This window comes from Homo sapiens, chromosome 12, assembly GCF_000001405.40.
Source record: "Homo sapiens chromosome 12, GRCh38.p14 Primary Assembly".
NCBI lineage: Eukaryota > Metazoa > Chordata > Mammalia > Primates > Hominidae > Homo > Homo sapiens.
In genome coordinates, this window is record NC_000012.12 from 17,337,848 (window position 1) to 17,353,877 (window position 16,030).

Sequence of the window (16,030 nt, forward strand, 5' to 3'; positions counted from 1 at the left end):
TCCCAAAATACGTTTCATGTGCACTTGAGAACAATGTTTATCCTGCTGTTCTTGTGTGGAATATTGTTCAGTCTTCTATTTCCATATTGATCCCTGTCTAGTTTTTTCTAGTTATAATTGAAAGTAGAACATTGAGTCATCCAACTATTGTTATTGAACAACCTATTTCTCTCTTTAATTCTTTCAGTTTTGACTGCATATGATTTAGGACTCTGTTGTTACATGCATATATGTTTACAATTGTTAAGTCTTCTATATATATTGCCTCTTTTACCAACATACAATGTCCTTCTTTACTTTTTGTAAACATGTTTATTTTTTCTGACATTATTATGGCTACCTTAGCTTACTCTTGGTTACAATGAGCATGAAATTTCTTTTTTTTTTTAATTATTTCACTTTTAGGCTACTTTCATTGTTGGAGTTAATGTGAGTCCTATGTCGATTTACTTATAAAAAATATATATTTGGATTTTTAAAAATAAATTCTGACAGTCTGCTTTTTAATTGGTTAATCAATTCACATTTAATTACTGATATAAAAAAACTTACTATTTCTATTTTGCTACTTAAAGAAATTCTCATACCTTTTTTGTTTCTTAGTACTTTCATTACTGCCTTCTTTTATGTTTAATTGATTTTGTTTAGTATCCCATTTTTGATTCCCTTATCATTTTACGTTCCAATAGTCTTATTATTTTCTTAGTTCTTATCCTGTGAATTATAATTAATATCCTAAATTTATCACAATGTAGTTTGAATTAATATAAATTCAACTTCAAAATTATAAAAAAATTCTAATTATTGCTTTATGTACTTTACTTTTAAATTATGAAGAAAAAAGCCACAAATAAAAAATACAATAGTATGTATTTTAGTTGTACTACAAAGTAAATACTTATATTTATCTATTTAGTTATCTTTAATAGTATTATTATTTCTTTGTGTAGGTAAAAGTTACTGTATAGCATCCTTTTATTTTAGCTGGAAGCCCTCATAAAGGTGAAAGTCATGTTTTCGTAGAGTGGATTTTCTAGTAGTGAACTTTCTCAGCTTTTGTTTATCTGGGAACATTTAAATTTTCCCTTCATCTTTTTAAAGAAAGTTTGGCACATACAGAATTCTTGGTTGACAGGACTTTTTCTTTTAGCACTTTAAAAATATCATTCCACTTTTTCCATGGTTTCTAATGAAAAATCACAGTTAATCTTATTAAGAATGCCTTTTTTAATTGAGGTAAAGAACATACACAATTTGCTATCTTAGTCATTTTAAGCGTACAATTCAGTAGTGTTAACTATATACAAACTGTTGCACAACAGATCTCTATAATTTTTTATCTTTCAAAACTGAAACTCCATGGTCGTTGAACAACAACTCCACTCTTCCTCTCTTCTTTCCCCGGAAATGACTGTTCCTCTTTCTGATTCTAGGAGTTTGATTACTTTAGTTAACTCATGTAGTTAGAATCAAACAGTATTTCTCTTTTTTGTGACAGGCTTATTTCACTTTGCATAATGTCCTTGAGGGTTATCCATGTTGTAGCATATGACAGAATTCCATTATTTTTAAAGCTGGATAACATTCCATTGTATGTAAATATCACATTTTTGTATTCATTCATTGATTGACATTTAGGTTGCTTTCAGTTTATGGCTTTTATGAATAATGCTGCAGTGAACATTTGTATACAAATCATCCCTCAAGCTTTTTTTATCGATTCTTTTGGATACATACACAGAAATGGAATTGCAGGATTATATAATAATTTTATTTTGATTTTTTGAGGAATATCCATGTTGTTATCCGTAATGGCTGTGCCATTTTACATTCTCACCAACAGTGCACAAAGTTTCCAATTTCTCCATATCCTCACCATGACTTATATTTTTTAATAAAAAGATATGTGGGATCATATCTCATTATGGTTTCAATTTGCATTTTCCTGATGATTAGTGATGTTGAACATCTTTCCATAAGCTTAATGGACACTTATATATTTTCTCTGGGGAAATGACAATTCAAATCATTTGATAATTTTTTTAGATATTTGATTTTTGTTATTGTTGGGACTTGTAGGAGTTCTTTACACATTAACTCCTTATTAGGTATTTGGTTTGTAAATATTTTCTCCCATTCCATAGGTTACCTTTTAACTCCTTTGATTATTACATTTGCTATAAAAGAGTTTTTAAGTTTGATGTAGTCCCGTTTGCTTATTTTTGCCTTTGTTGCCTGTGTTTTTGGTGTCATATCCAAGACATCATTGCAAAATCCAGCATCATGAAGGTTTTCTTCTATGCTTTCTCCTAGGAGATTTACAGTCTCATGTCTTACAGATATAACTTTAATCTGATAGTAAAGATGTATCAGATTTGAGATACCTTTTTGATATATTTGAGATAACTTTTGTATTAATATATGGTGTAAGGTAAAGGTTCAACTTTACTCTTTTACATGTGGGTATGCAAAACACCATAGTGTTTTGATTATTATCACTTTATGATATGTTTTCAAATCAGAGAGTATGAGCCCTCCAGCATTGTATTAAATTGTTCTAGCTATTGGAGGCCCTTTGAGATTTCATAGGAATTTTAGAATTTTTTCTCCATTTCTCTAAAACATGCTGTTGGGATTTTGATAGGGATTGCATTGAATCTGCGGATTGCTTTGGGTACCATGAACATTTTAGCAATATTAAGTCTTGCAATCCATGAACATGAAATATCTTATAGCATTTTTTGTATTGATTTGCAGCATTACTCTCTTCTTATTTATTTCAGCAATATTTTTTTGCTTTTAGTGTGCAAGTCTTTTGCTTCTTTGGTTAAGTTTATACCTAAGTAATTTATTATTTTCGATGCTATTGTAAATTGAATTGTTTTCTTAATTTTCTTTTCAGATTATTATTTTGCAGTGTATAGAAACGCAACCGATTTTTTGTCTATTGATTTTGTGTCCTGCAGCTTTGCTGAAATTGTTTATTAGTTCTAACGATATTTTTGTTGAGTCTTTAGTGTTTTCTATATATGAGATTATATCTGTAAACAAAGATAATTTTACTTCTCCCTTTTAGATGCAGGTCTTTTTTTCCCCTTTGCTTAATTGCTGAGGCTAGGACTTTCATTTCTGAGTTTAATAGAACAGAGGTGAGAGTGAATATTCTTGTTTTATTCCTGATCTTAGAGAAAAAGCTTTCAGTTTTCACCATTGAGTGTGACGCTTAGGGATGCATTTTTCACATATGGCCTTTATTATGTTAAGGTAGTTTACTCCTCATCCTAATTGGTTGAGTGTGATTTTTTTTCTCTTTTATTGTGGTAAAATATACATAACATAAAATGTATTCTTTTAACCATTTTTAAGTACAGTTCAAGAATATTAAGTGCATTCATATTGTTGTGCCTTCATTATCAAACAGTTATCTCCAGATCTCATTTCATATTGCAAAACTGAAACTCTATAGCCCGTCAAAAATTACTCTTCGTTACTCCCTTCCTATAGCCCTTGGCAACCACCATTCTACTTTCTTTCCTTATGATTTTAACTACACTAAGTACTACATACAACTAGAATCATACAGTATTTTTTTCGGGAGTGGCTTATTTTATTTAGCCTAATGTCCTCAAGATTTATCATGTTGTAGCATATGTCAAAATTTTCTTTTTTTCTAAGTCTGTCTATAAAAGATAAACTTAATTCTGTCATTTTAAAGTGCGTTTTCTGTAAGACTTAGAGCTTTCTTGTCTGAATTTCCTGCAATACTCTTTTCCTTTGTTTTTATTTAATTTTTTTTTGTAGTGAAACAGTCAAATTTCTTTCTCATTTTCTTTTGTGTATATTCTGTAACTATCTTTTGTGTGGTTAACATAGGAATTAGATTTTAAATTCTAAAGCTAAAACACACTAGTTTGGATTTATACCTGCTTAACTTCAGTATATACAGAATCTTTGCCCCTTTACATCCCTTTCACCACTTCTTACAGTTGCTGATGTCACAAAATTACATTGTGTGTCCAAAACATAAACCAACAATTTTTAAAATGCATTAGTCTCTTAAATTATGTACAAAATAAAATGTGGAGTTATAAACCAAAGTTGCAGTAATACTGCTTTCAAGAATAATTGTTTTTCTAAAAAATGCATTAATCTCTTTAATTATGTAGAAAATATAAAATAGATTTACAAACTCTTATTGCAAAACTACTAGCTTTTATAATTTCTCATATATTTACTTTTACTGCGATCTTTGTTTCTTTATATCACTTCAAGTATTCTCTAGAGTCTTTTAATTTCAACTTGCAGGAATCCTTTCAGCATTGAATGTAAGTTTGGTTCTTCTTTTTTCCTTCCCAAGGTCGAAGTCATGTATTAGAAGTTTTCACCCAATTTTGCTGAGCTATGTCAGCTTGCAGGAGGGACAATTGTGGATAAAATAAAATAGCTTTTCTTACTTGTTAATTTAATGTGGCTATTGTTTGCTTTGTGCTTGTCTGGATATATTAGTCAGGGTTCTCTAAAGGGACAGAACTAATAGGGTAAATAAATATATGAAGAGGAGTTTATTAGGAGAATTGACTCACACAATCACAAGGTGAACTCCCACAATAGGCAGTCTGCAAGCTGAGGAGCCAGGAAGCCAGTCTGAGTTCCAAAGCCTCAAAAACAGGGAAGCCAATAGTGCAGCCTTCAGTCTCTGGCCAAAGGTCTGCAAGCCCCTGGCAAATCACTGGTGTAAGTCCAAGAGTTCAAAAGCTGAATAACTTAGAGTCTGATGTTCGAGGACAGGAAGCATCCAGCATGGGAGAAAGGGAAGCCAGAAGACAGCCAGTCTAGCCCTTCCACATTCTTCTGCCTGCTTTTCATTCCAGCCATGCTGGCAGCTGATTAGATTGTGCCCACCCAGACTGAGGGTGGGTCTGCCTCTCCTAGTCCATTGACTCAAATGTTAATCTCTTTTGGCAACACCCTCACAGACACACTCAGGAACATTACTTTGCATCCTTTGAATTCTTTAATCCAATCAAGTTGACACTCAGTATTAACCATTACACTGGGGTATTGCAACTTCTTAATTGGTGTCTGGAATTCTCATGAAGGCTTTGGATTGCATATTGTTTTTAAGTCGTTGTCTCTGTGGAGGACACCAAGATCTGTGGCTTTCCATTCTACCTCTTGCATGAAACAGAGGATGCCTTTTATATGACTTACTTTGCTTTCTGCTCTCAAATTTCTTTCTTTGTCTTTCAATAATTTGATTGTAATGTGTTTCAGTGTGGATCCCTTTGAGTTTATTTTAGAGTTAGTGGGCCTATTTATATGTGTAGATGTACGTCTTCCATCAAATTCAGGAAGTTTTAGGTCATTAGTTCTTCAAATGTTCTTTCTGTCTTTTTCTTTCCTCTTCTCTGGGACTGCTATTATAAATTTGTTGGTATTTGTTGTTACTAGTTGGACTATTTGTAGGTGTAGACATATGTCTTCCATCAAATTTGGGAAGTTTTAGGTTATTATTTCTTCAAATGTTCTTTTTGTCTTTTCCCATCTCTCCTCTTCTCTGGGACTGCTATTATAAATATGTTGGTACACTTGATGGTGTCCCACAAGTCTCATAGGCTTTTATTTTTCTTCATTCTTCTTTTATTTTTACTCCTCAAGACAGATAGTCTCAATTGACCTATCATCATGTTCTCTGATTTTTTTTCTTATTACTGTTCAAATTTGTTGTTGATATCTGTTAGTGATTTTTTTCACATCAGTTATTATACATTCCTGCTCCAGAATTTTTGTTTCCTTTTTATAATTTCTATCTCTATTGTTTTTCTTCATTTGCTAAGACATCATTCTTCTTATTTCATTTAGTTCTTTGTTCATGGTTTCATTTAGCTCTCTGGGCTTATTTAAGAAAATTAATCTAATGGTTTTCTCTACTACATCCAATATCTGAGTTTTCTCTGAGGCATTTTGTATTAATTTCCTTTTTTCCTGTGAGTAAGCCACATATTTTTATTTAATTACATGTCTCATATATTTCTTAAATCAGACATTTGGAATATTACTATGTAATAAATCTTGAAAGAAGATTCTCCCCACCCTCAGGGTTTACTCTTGCTGCTTATTATGGTTTGTTGTTTGTTTAGCAACTTTTCTAAATTACCTTTGAGAAGACTGCATTCTTTGTGAGTGGCCACAAAGTCTCTCTTTCTTAGAGTAATGGCTCAGCTAGTGATTTGACAGAAATGCCCTTAAGTTCTTGGAGTTTTTCTTTTCTTAATCTCTCCCTGTCATTTCAGATTTTCTCCATGTTGGGACACTCCTTCAATGCTTAGCCAGGATGTTTACAACTCTAACTTAGCCATCATTTCCTGTTTACATGTAGTCTAATTGTCAACCAGTGGTAAAAATTTTTGGTCTTAGTAGTTCTTTACTGACCTTATACTGTGTGTGCACATGAATTTTTAGATTCCCTGGTACGTGTGGGAGTTTTTTGTTTTTGTTTTTGTTTTTGTTTTTGATGGAGTCTGCACTGTCACCCAGGTTGGTGTGCAATGGTGTGAGCTTGGCTCACTGCAACCTCTACCTCCCGGGTTCACGTGATTCTCCTGCCTCAGCCTCCCAAGTAGGTGGGATTACAGGCACACAGAATCACACCTGCCTAATTTTTTGTATTTTTAGTACAGATGGGGTTTCACTATGTTGGCCAGACTGGTCTCGAACTCCTGACCTCGTGATCTGCCCACCTCGGCCTCCCCATGTGTTTTTAGGCATGAGCTACCGCACCCGGCCTATGTGGGAGCTTTTCAAAGCCCTTATTCAGTCCTTATTCCTCCATGTATCTCCTTTCCCACCCTTTTCCTTCCCGGGCTATTCATTTTGTATACTACTTGCTCCAATGGTTATTGTTTGTCACAGGCAGCTGCACCTCATTTGTTTCTTCTTATGCCTTTGACAAATGTCACCTGAGAAGCCTGTTCATCCCTGAAAAATTCCAAAGTAGGCAAAACAAAAGCAAGCCCTTGAGCTTAGCTTTCAGGGAGCCACCAGGCATATCAAAGCACACTATTTCAACACTTTGAGGATAAGGTCCTCTATTGCTTCCTTCACTACCAACAAGTTTTATGAGAAATTTGACAGCTATGTTTGCAGCCACTGATGTGCTGGGGAATGATTTGATTCCAGAGTTTTGAAAAAGGTTATTCAGGCAGTTTTTTTTTTTTTTTAACCAATAATAGTTGTTTTAGTGGAGGGATAGAGTTTTGGAGTTCCCTACTCTGCCATTTTAAGTAACATCATATCATACCACCATCATTTTATTTTCTGATAATTTTTATAAAAATTCTAATTTTATAAATTAATAAACTTATAATTTAAAAACTTCACATGTTTAAATAAAACTCATTGAAATATACAAACATTTTTCTAGATTGCTTTGAAAATAATTTGTAAATTATCTCTGGACTCTTGAAAAAAGAGCATAGGGTTGTATTTATAAATATTCAAATTTTTTTATTTGTGATGTGAACCAAATTCTCTATAGGTTTACTATTAGTTTTTGTTTATTTGTTAGTTTGGTGATGGTTGACCCTGTTGATTTTTGAAAGACTGAAAAAATTTATAAAATGTTTTAATACATTTTTGTTGTTTGTAATGTTTCCATGTATTTTTAAAATATACATTTTCTATATTTTGAAGTAATTTTATCAGACAAGCAAAAGTTAATGACTTTTATATAATTACATTTTAATTGTGACTAGAACTTTTTATAATTATTAAATTTATTCCTCTATCTTACTTAATGTATTTTTTCTTTAAATTCTACTTTGTGTGATATCAATTTTGTCTGAGCACTTTATTTTTATTGTTTGCATTTGCCTAATACATTTTAACCCATCCTTTATATTTTACCATTCTAGGGTCACTTTATTTGAGATGTATCGCTGATTTAAAAAATGATATTTTAAATCAAATTAATATTTTTTGCCTTTATGTAGACTAGGTGCTTGAAGCATTGGCATTCAATTTTACAATTTATATTTTCTCTGGTATTGTAGAATAGTGCTTCCTATTTTTTTTTTTCTACACATCAGGAATCATAGAAAATATGATTGCCATTGGTCATGCTGTATTGAATGTGCAAGACCATTTCCAGCCAGAGTAAACTTGCTATTCTTTCCTGGCCCTACTAAGGATAGAGGGGCTCTATAAGTTAGCATAACTTAACCCATAACCCATAACCTATTAAGAATAAATTAATGAGCCAGGTGCAGTGGCTCATGCCTGTAAAACCAGCACTTTGGAAGGCCGAGGCGGGTGGATCACGAGGTCAGGAGATCGAAACCATCCTGGCTAACAAGGTGAGACCCCGTCTCTACTAAAAATACAAAAAAAAAAAAAAAAAAAAAAAAGAGCCGGGCGTAGTGGCCGGTGCCTGTAATCCCAGCTACTCGGGAGGCTGAGGCAGGAGAATCGTTCGAACCCAGGAGGCAGAAGTTGCAGTGAGCCGAGATAGCGCCACTGCACTCCAGCCTGGGCGACAGAGCGAGACTCTGTCTCAAGAAAAAATAATAATACTTAATTAATTAAAAAAATAAAATAAATTAATGTGCAAACAGTGCATTCTCAGTTTGGGAGTTCTGCTAAATTGGCCATTGTTGTTTCATTGCCCAGAATCCACTTACCATTCTTATGGCAGAAGCATCCCAATGATATTATGAGAAATACGACTTTTTTCCCACTTTCAGTAAATGTTTGAATAGGATTCTCACATTCTTCCCTGGGATTTTAACATATGACTTAGGCCAAAGCAATCAGGGTAATTATATTACTTTGGTCATAGAGGTTGTATCAGGACGAGACATTAATCCAATCAAAGACAATAAAAGGCAGTGAGTTAATGACTTTTGTAGTGGCCACCAAAAATATATTTTTCTTGTGGATTTCATGGGGTGAGAGTATAAGATGTGGGGCTTGTGCAGCCATCTTGCTGGCATCTTTCTGTGTGGCGTGCTTGCTGACGTGCACAAGAATAATGGCTAGCATGTGGATCCTAGGGATGTTGTTTTATGTCTCAGTAGAACCATTCCTCAGCCACCCAATTTTATGGGCCAGTCAGTTCCCTAGCCTATTTGTAAGATAGGCAAGCAGTTTTTAGCCTTAATAGTGGTTGTTTTTTTTCTTAAAAATTTTAATGTGTTCATTGTTAATATCAGAAATTAAATACTAATATACATTTTGTGTAAGAAATATCACATGATTAAATAGAAAAATGAGGCATTCTAAATTCAAAATTAGTACGTTAATCGGTCATTTTGGGGTTGTAGCATTATAATTGTTAAATATTTATATTACTTTGTAATTTCCAACTTTTCTCTAATAAACATTAAATGTTATATAATTGAAAATAGAACAACAAATGACCTATATTGTAATGCTGAGAGTGAAACAGACAATTTTAGGCTCAATTACCATACTTGATAGTATAGTTCCCCACTGCCACTCCCAGAAATCTTGCCTCCTTCATCCATGTAATCCGTAATTTCCAACAGCCACATGATATGTAACCTTACCTATTGTCACTTTGTACATATCGACATTGGCCATACTTCTAGGATAAGCCACTTTCAACCAAACTACTTCTTTCATTTTTTCTCTTAGAGTTATTTTTCTTGTTTACTTGATTGAAATTCTTAAGATTTGAATTACATACCCCACTCTCTCATCACCTAATCACAATGCTCCACTCAACGTGGGAACTCCAAAATATTCTGACTTGATTAACTTCTTTGCTTCTCCACCATGACAATTCTAATTTTGAAAAAAATCATATTTATCCCGGACTACTGAAGTAGCCATAGAACTAGAAAACCTTGTCTTTCTATTACTCCACATATGTTAGAGATGCAAAAATTCCTTTAACGTATCTGGTTAAAATTATCCAATGTTTTTCTATAGCACTTGAAATAAACTCCTAATTCTAGCTTATAAAGCCCCCTATGTAATCTGCTTTTTTCCTACTCTTCATATTACCCTTGGACTACCATCCCCTTCTCTCTGGCTCTACTCTAGCCAAATTAGCCTCTTCCCTTTCTTCCTTAAGCCTTTGGACAAGTTGCATCCTTTGCCCAGAAGACTCTTCCTTCTGGTATTTAAAAAGGTTTGCTTCTTGTCAATTAGTGCACAACTCAACACTTATGTCTTCAGAGAAGCTTTCAATTGACAATTCAATATAATATATCTCTGAAACAGAAATTTATTCTCCAGAATAGCATGCTTTGTCATTGGATGGTTTCTTAGTTATTTGTTTAGTTAGCTGTTTATTGTATTATCTCTCAGACTATAAGTTCCATTATGTCTGTCATAGTCTTAAGTGTATATAGAACAGTGCCTATCTTACACTTTGTTGCATAAATGATTAATGACTGAATAAATGAACAGATCAGTATTCCATAAGAAAATGTTCATAATGTCAATGTAAGAATTAATTTTCCCATCTTTACTGCTACATGGCTTCTAAGCATTACTGTGCTATAATGAGATTTGTACATGTCCTTCCTCCCCATTATATCCCATGCAATTTGATGCAAATGAGTGCTTTATTTTCCCTTCTTTGTACTTCCCAAGGAAGTGCCTTGCACATTACCTTAGTGTCTTAGACATAATGGCCATTCATAAATGTTTGTCTAATTGAATTATGTTGCCTTTACAAAATCTTAAGAGCCTCTCATGAGCATTCCTAAGGGAAAGATTTTTCTCTTGGAACCTCTCATGAGTCCTTAGACCAAAATTAATTGCTACTTCCTCTCTGTTTTCATTGCAATTAGTATATGCTAAGTGTTTTAAACAATATGATTTATATTGTAGAAATTCATCAACATGTCTATTTCCACAGCTAAACTGAGAGAATGTTAGCATTGTTTCTTAAATATAACAGTGCACAAAAATATCATTGATAATAAATTGAAGTAGTATTCAGTTATATGTTCATTGTCATCAAAATATGGGAGGTCATCATGGAAGACCATTATAATATAAAGATTTTGCAGTCTTTCCAGTTAGTGATTGCTACCAAAGAACAATCATACATAGTTCTTGAAGGATCTTGACTATTACAGAACCACCACTCAGTCAGCCAAGCAACTTGCTTGAGAAAACAAAGCTGAAGTTATTTACATGCATTTTGTCTAACCAATCCGTGAAATCTATGACAATGAAGTAGAGTCCATAGTTCAGTTTTTGTTTAGGGAAGTATGTGATACAATTCTTTTTTTTCCTTCACTTTAGTATTCTGGTAATAACAGACAATCTTCTCAGGAAAGGATAGTTTTTACAAGTATATAATAATTACATTTTCATTAATTTCTAATATGCTTTGTCTTACTCTGAAAAAAAAAAACTAGACTATATACTATCAAAACGAACACATCAAACACAAAAGGAAGTTCAGCACAAATGAAACTTCCTAAACGATATCTACACCTTGGATGATTTTTTAAAGAAACATGTTCTGGCTCAAACTACCTTCAATATATTCAGGAGGAACAGAAATTGTGCCTTTGAAATATGGAGTTCCACTTTGAGGAAACCCAGTACTCCTTAATGCCCCTGTGTGACTATGACTTCAACGTTTATTCATCATTCAATTGTTTGTTTGTTTGTTTTTTAATAGACCACTTTTTGCCAGGCACTGCTATTGAATCTGGGAATACAGTAGTGAATCGGACAGAGTTGGCCCTAGCTTACAGACATTTTTTATTCTAGTACAAAATTTGAAAGTTTATCATGTACCAGATAAGGCAGGCATTTCTCTTCAGGCACTTTATCTTTTCTATCCCTTACAAGATGAAGCCACCAAAATTGATGAATGGCATACTTGTCACTGAAACTAGAATAGTGGAAGACACCAAAGACCATTGTTCCCCTATAAATTAGCCTGGGAATTTTGTAGCCATCCGGACTTTATCTCACTGGTCTGAGAAATCCAACAAGAACAAAGCATTGCAGTAGCTCTTAGCTGAGATCCAGATTCTCCAGGTGGTAGATTGATGAACTGTGAATAATAAGCAATCATCCAGAATCCCAACAATGCAACCTGTTAGGAAGAAAGCATACAGATTCAAATTTTATTCTTTTACCTTTCATCCCATGAAGTCACTAGATAGTTCACAATACTAACCATGACCTATAGTGAGCATCTGGCAAAATGTCCTCAAATATTTGAGCAAAATTGACGTTTGTTGAGGCCAGACAATTCCTAAGAATTTTAAAATATTGTTCTGTCCATGTTTGATTATAAAGCTCCCCTGGTCATCACTGTGGTAAATTTTATTTTGGATCTTTCACTTCCTATGGCTGTGGCAACACCTTAGTGGTGGTAAATACTTTTGCCAAGAAGGCAATATCAATCCATGCCAGCCATCATTATACAGTTCATATGAAAGTCCATTGTAACGGACATTCAGGAACTAAATGACCTTTACTATTCTTCAGGTTATATTACTTTCTGGATCAAGTATTCAAACAACTCCATGTCAATCTAGCAAGTATATGACAGAATAAAACAAGCCTGGTATCTATCAAACGGGTCATGAAACAGTGCTTCCAATAGATCATTTAAACAGTTTTATAATCTTAGCATTGCAGAATTTGTCTGCCACAATTTACTACTTTTTGTTTTACCCATGACCCTTAGATTCATAATTTGCTACAACCACTACTTTCCTAGTAGTGCATTTGTATCTGGAAAGGGTACACAATTTTTGGCAAGCAACATCATATTGGACCAAGGGGCAGCACATTAAACAATGTGCTAGAGATTGCAGGTGATGTTTATTGTAGGGCATGAGGAGTGGTGTTTGGTTTGAGGTATATTTCAGAGAGAAATACTGCATAGCTGTCTTCCTGGTGTGTATACTATATATACCATCCACCTTTGCCAAAATCGGGAGAAATTGTACCTCAAGTGTTTCAATGGAATGGAGATCATCAACCTTATGGCCTCATAGCTTTACCTCCAATCTACTTTATTTTATATCTCTTCTTGGTTTGCCAGAAATATTTTATACAGGAATTACTTACATGATGGCTTAAGTCTGAACATCTACAGACATTGTGGTTAATGTCAATACATATATATGACCATATGTATTTGTTAATATAATTATTCACATATTTATCCCATTGTCTTTGTGGAGTTTGCAGCTGCTCACTCTGCATTTTTTTTTCTTCATCATTCCTTCATTGTCTCATGTAAGAATTCCTATACTCCCAGCCATGCTATCCTATTCATCCCATGTGAAAGGAAATGCAGAGAGGTTCAGGTAAATTATTACTGACAACTGTTTATCCTGTAACAATTATTATAGAGCAAATTAGCAATATTAGAGACATCAAAACAATTCCAAAAGAGCTGTATCTTGTACTTGGCATATACTAATTCAAGAGGTCAGTGCTTCTCTGCCAGGGGGTGGCATGTGTATGTACTCTCTTAAGAAATCTGTAAGATAAACATCCTTAAAACTTTAATATTGATTAGAAATTTAGCCTATCCATAAAGTGTTGCTTTTTGTCTCTGTAACAAGAGTAATGATTATTACATGATATTACTGGATGTGGGGTAAGAGATTGCCAAGTTAATAACTCTAGAAATTTATATTCTTAGACAAGAAATATAGGCACTTGTGAAAGTTTAGGAATTTTTATGGGGGGCTAGGTGTCATTGCAATAGAGTATCTCACTATACTCTGTAGTGGCACTTAAAGTATCTAAGTAGGAATACTCTACCAATTTAGGGCAAATAATGATGTAAAGAATGAATTACACAATCTGTAAGCAACCACTGTGTTGAATTTCCTATGGAAAAAAGGCATGATATCACTAGTGCCTTAAGCTTAAACCATTTTGATATGTTATAAACTGGAAATGATAGTGACCTGAATGCTTAAGAAGCACTAGAAACTAGAAAATATGAAAATCTGCAGGTGGAAACCTTAAATATTGCATACTTCTTTGGCTGGTTCTTTCTTCATGTTGCAAACATCAATTATTAAATACTACCGACATTATTTAAGTAGTCACTTTTAATCATAATATTTTACATGTATATTTATACCACCATAATGAAAGGTCCCATTGTGTTTTACAGACTATACATATCTTTATTAGTAAAATGTGGCTATCTTCACTAAAAGCACATTTTTATTCAAGATAATTGTACAATGCAATAGACATAGATTATGCTAATAGACAAGAGGAAGAACATGAATAAATAAAAGCCATAGATAATCCCCAAATCTAATTTTAACTACTATTTTAAATTTTTCTCTTCCACCAAACCTTTATAAGGGCTGCTAACAAGTAATAAAATTGACTGATTGGTATTTCATTTTCCCTTCCTTCTGTTGCTCACCTATAGGTGGAAATGCTAACAAGCATGGGAATAGGCATGAGACAAGAAGTAAAGGAAAAAGGCAATAGAAGAAGTAAGAGGTAATCCAACACCTGGGTAATCAGCTCATGAATAACAGAGAATTGACAGAAATGATAACACTTTAAACTCTGTAATCAGTATTCTCAGTGGCCTGGTGGCAAGAAAGAGAACTACTATCTTTACAAGAAAAGGGAAGTCCATGATTTTTAAAGGATTTGTGCTACAAACAGGATATTAAGCTTCAGTGCAAAATACCCGGGGTATTTCAACTGGAGAGTTTAGATCACCTCTAAAATGCCATTCTTACATTGTATAAAGACTCCAAGTTTATAAGCAGTCCTCAATAAACATATATATTTATATTTATATATAGTCATGATGTTATCACCACATATAAAATTCACTAACCACAAAATTCAATATTCACAAAATGTGATAAGATGAAATATTTTGGTTTTCTCCAAATTATCTTTCTCCTTAGCTGCCTGAAGTTACAGATTTTTTTTTTTTGAGACACAGGAAAGTATTGTGAAAAGAATGAATACTTGGATTCAATGACTGCACTCCATCCCAATAAAAAAGCACATCTATCTATAATCATCTTGCATAGGTACACAGTTTATCAAAGTTATTTTACCATCACTCCTAATGGAGGATTGTGTCTTCAGTTCTTTTTCCTTGCTCTATCACTGGATTGTATAACACACACAAATAAGGAGGAGTTGGTTGCTTACTGGCAGGAATAGAAACACTGATTATGGCTTCCTCTTAGGTCTTTTTCAATCTGTTTGTTTTCTGTAATCATTTTATACATGTCTGCCAACAAACCCTCCAATAAGAATTAAATGAAGTTCTTCCACTTATAGAAATTTTACCTTCCTGGGCCACTAGATATTTACTATATTTCTTAAATATTCTCAAGTAACATTTAAAAAAATTTTTTAAGCATTTTTTTTTCACAGAAGCCAATCACTCTCTTGCCACCTTCAGGCAAACCCACTTTTGAACGCCCATTTTTACTTTGCAAAGCAATATTTTGACTTCCAGATCTAGAGTCTTAACAATGCCAAAGCAAACCATAACTCTCCTGTTACAGAATGCTGAACACTGGAAAATAAGTTAGTGACCTCACCTCTAGATACATGCTTAATATCACACATTTGTATTTTGGGTATTAAAACTCCTGCATTTGTCACTCCTAATTGGATCCTAAGCAGAAAAAAAGCAGTTCACAGCATGCCCTCTGCGAGCTGTCATAAACAGAAATATGAGGCAGTGCCAAATCCCCCAAGGATTGACAGCCAATGATTAGGATGTTTTAATTTAGTGGACATACAGAACTTCTTTTGACATCTAAATGGGTAAGTGCCATAAGTAATCTATTTTTTGCACATATTCAAATTTAGAATGAACAAAAAGTAACTTAAAGTAGCATTTAGAAAAGTATAGTTAGCAGAGAAGTTGATTTCTCCAAAAATAATGAATTACCACAACTGAAATAATTAAAATAGGTTATAGATATTTTCTTTCTAAAAAAAAATCATGGTATGAAGGAAACACACGCACATGGAGAGTACTGTTTTATTTTTTTATTTTTATTTTTTG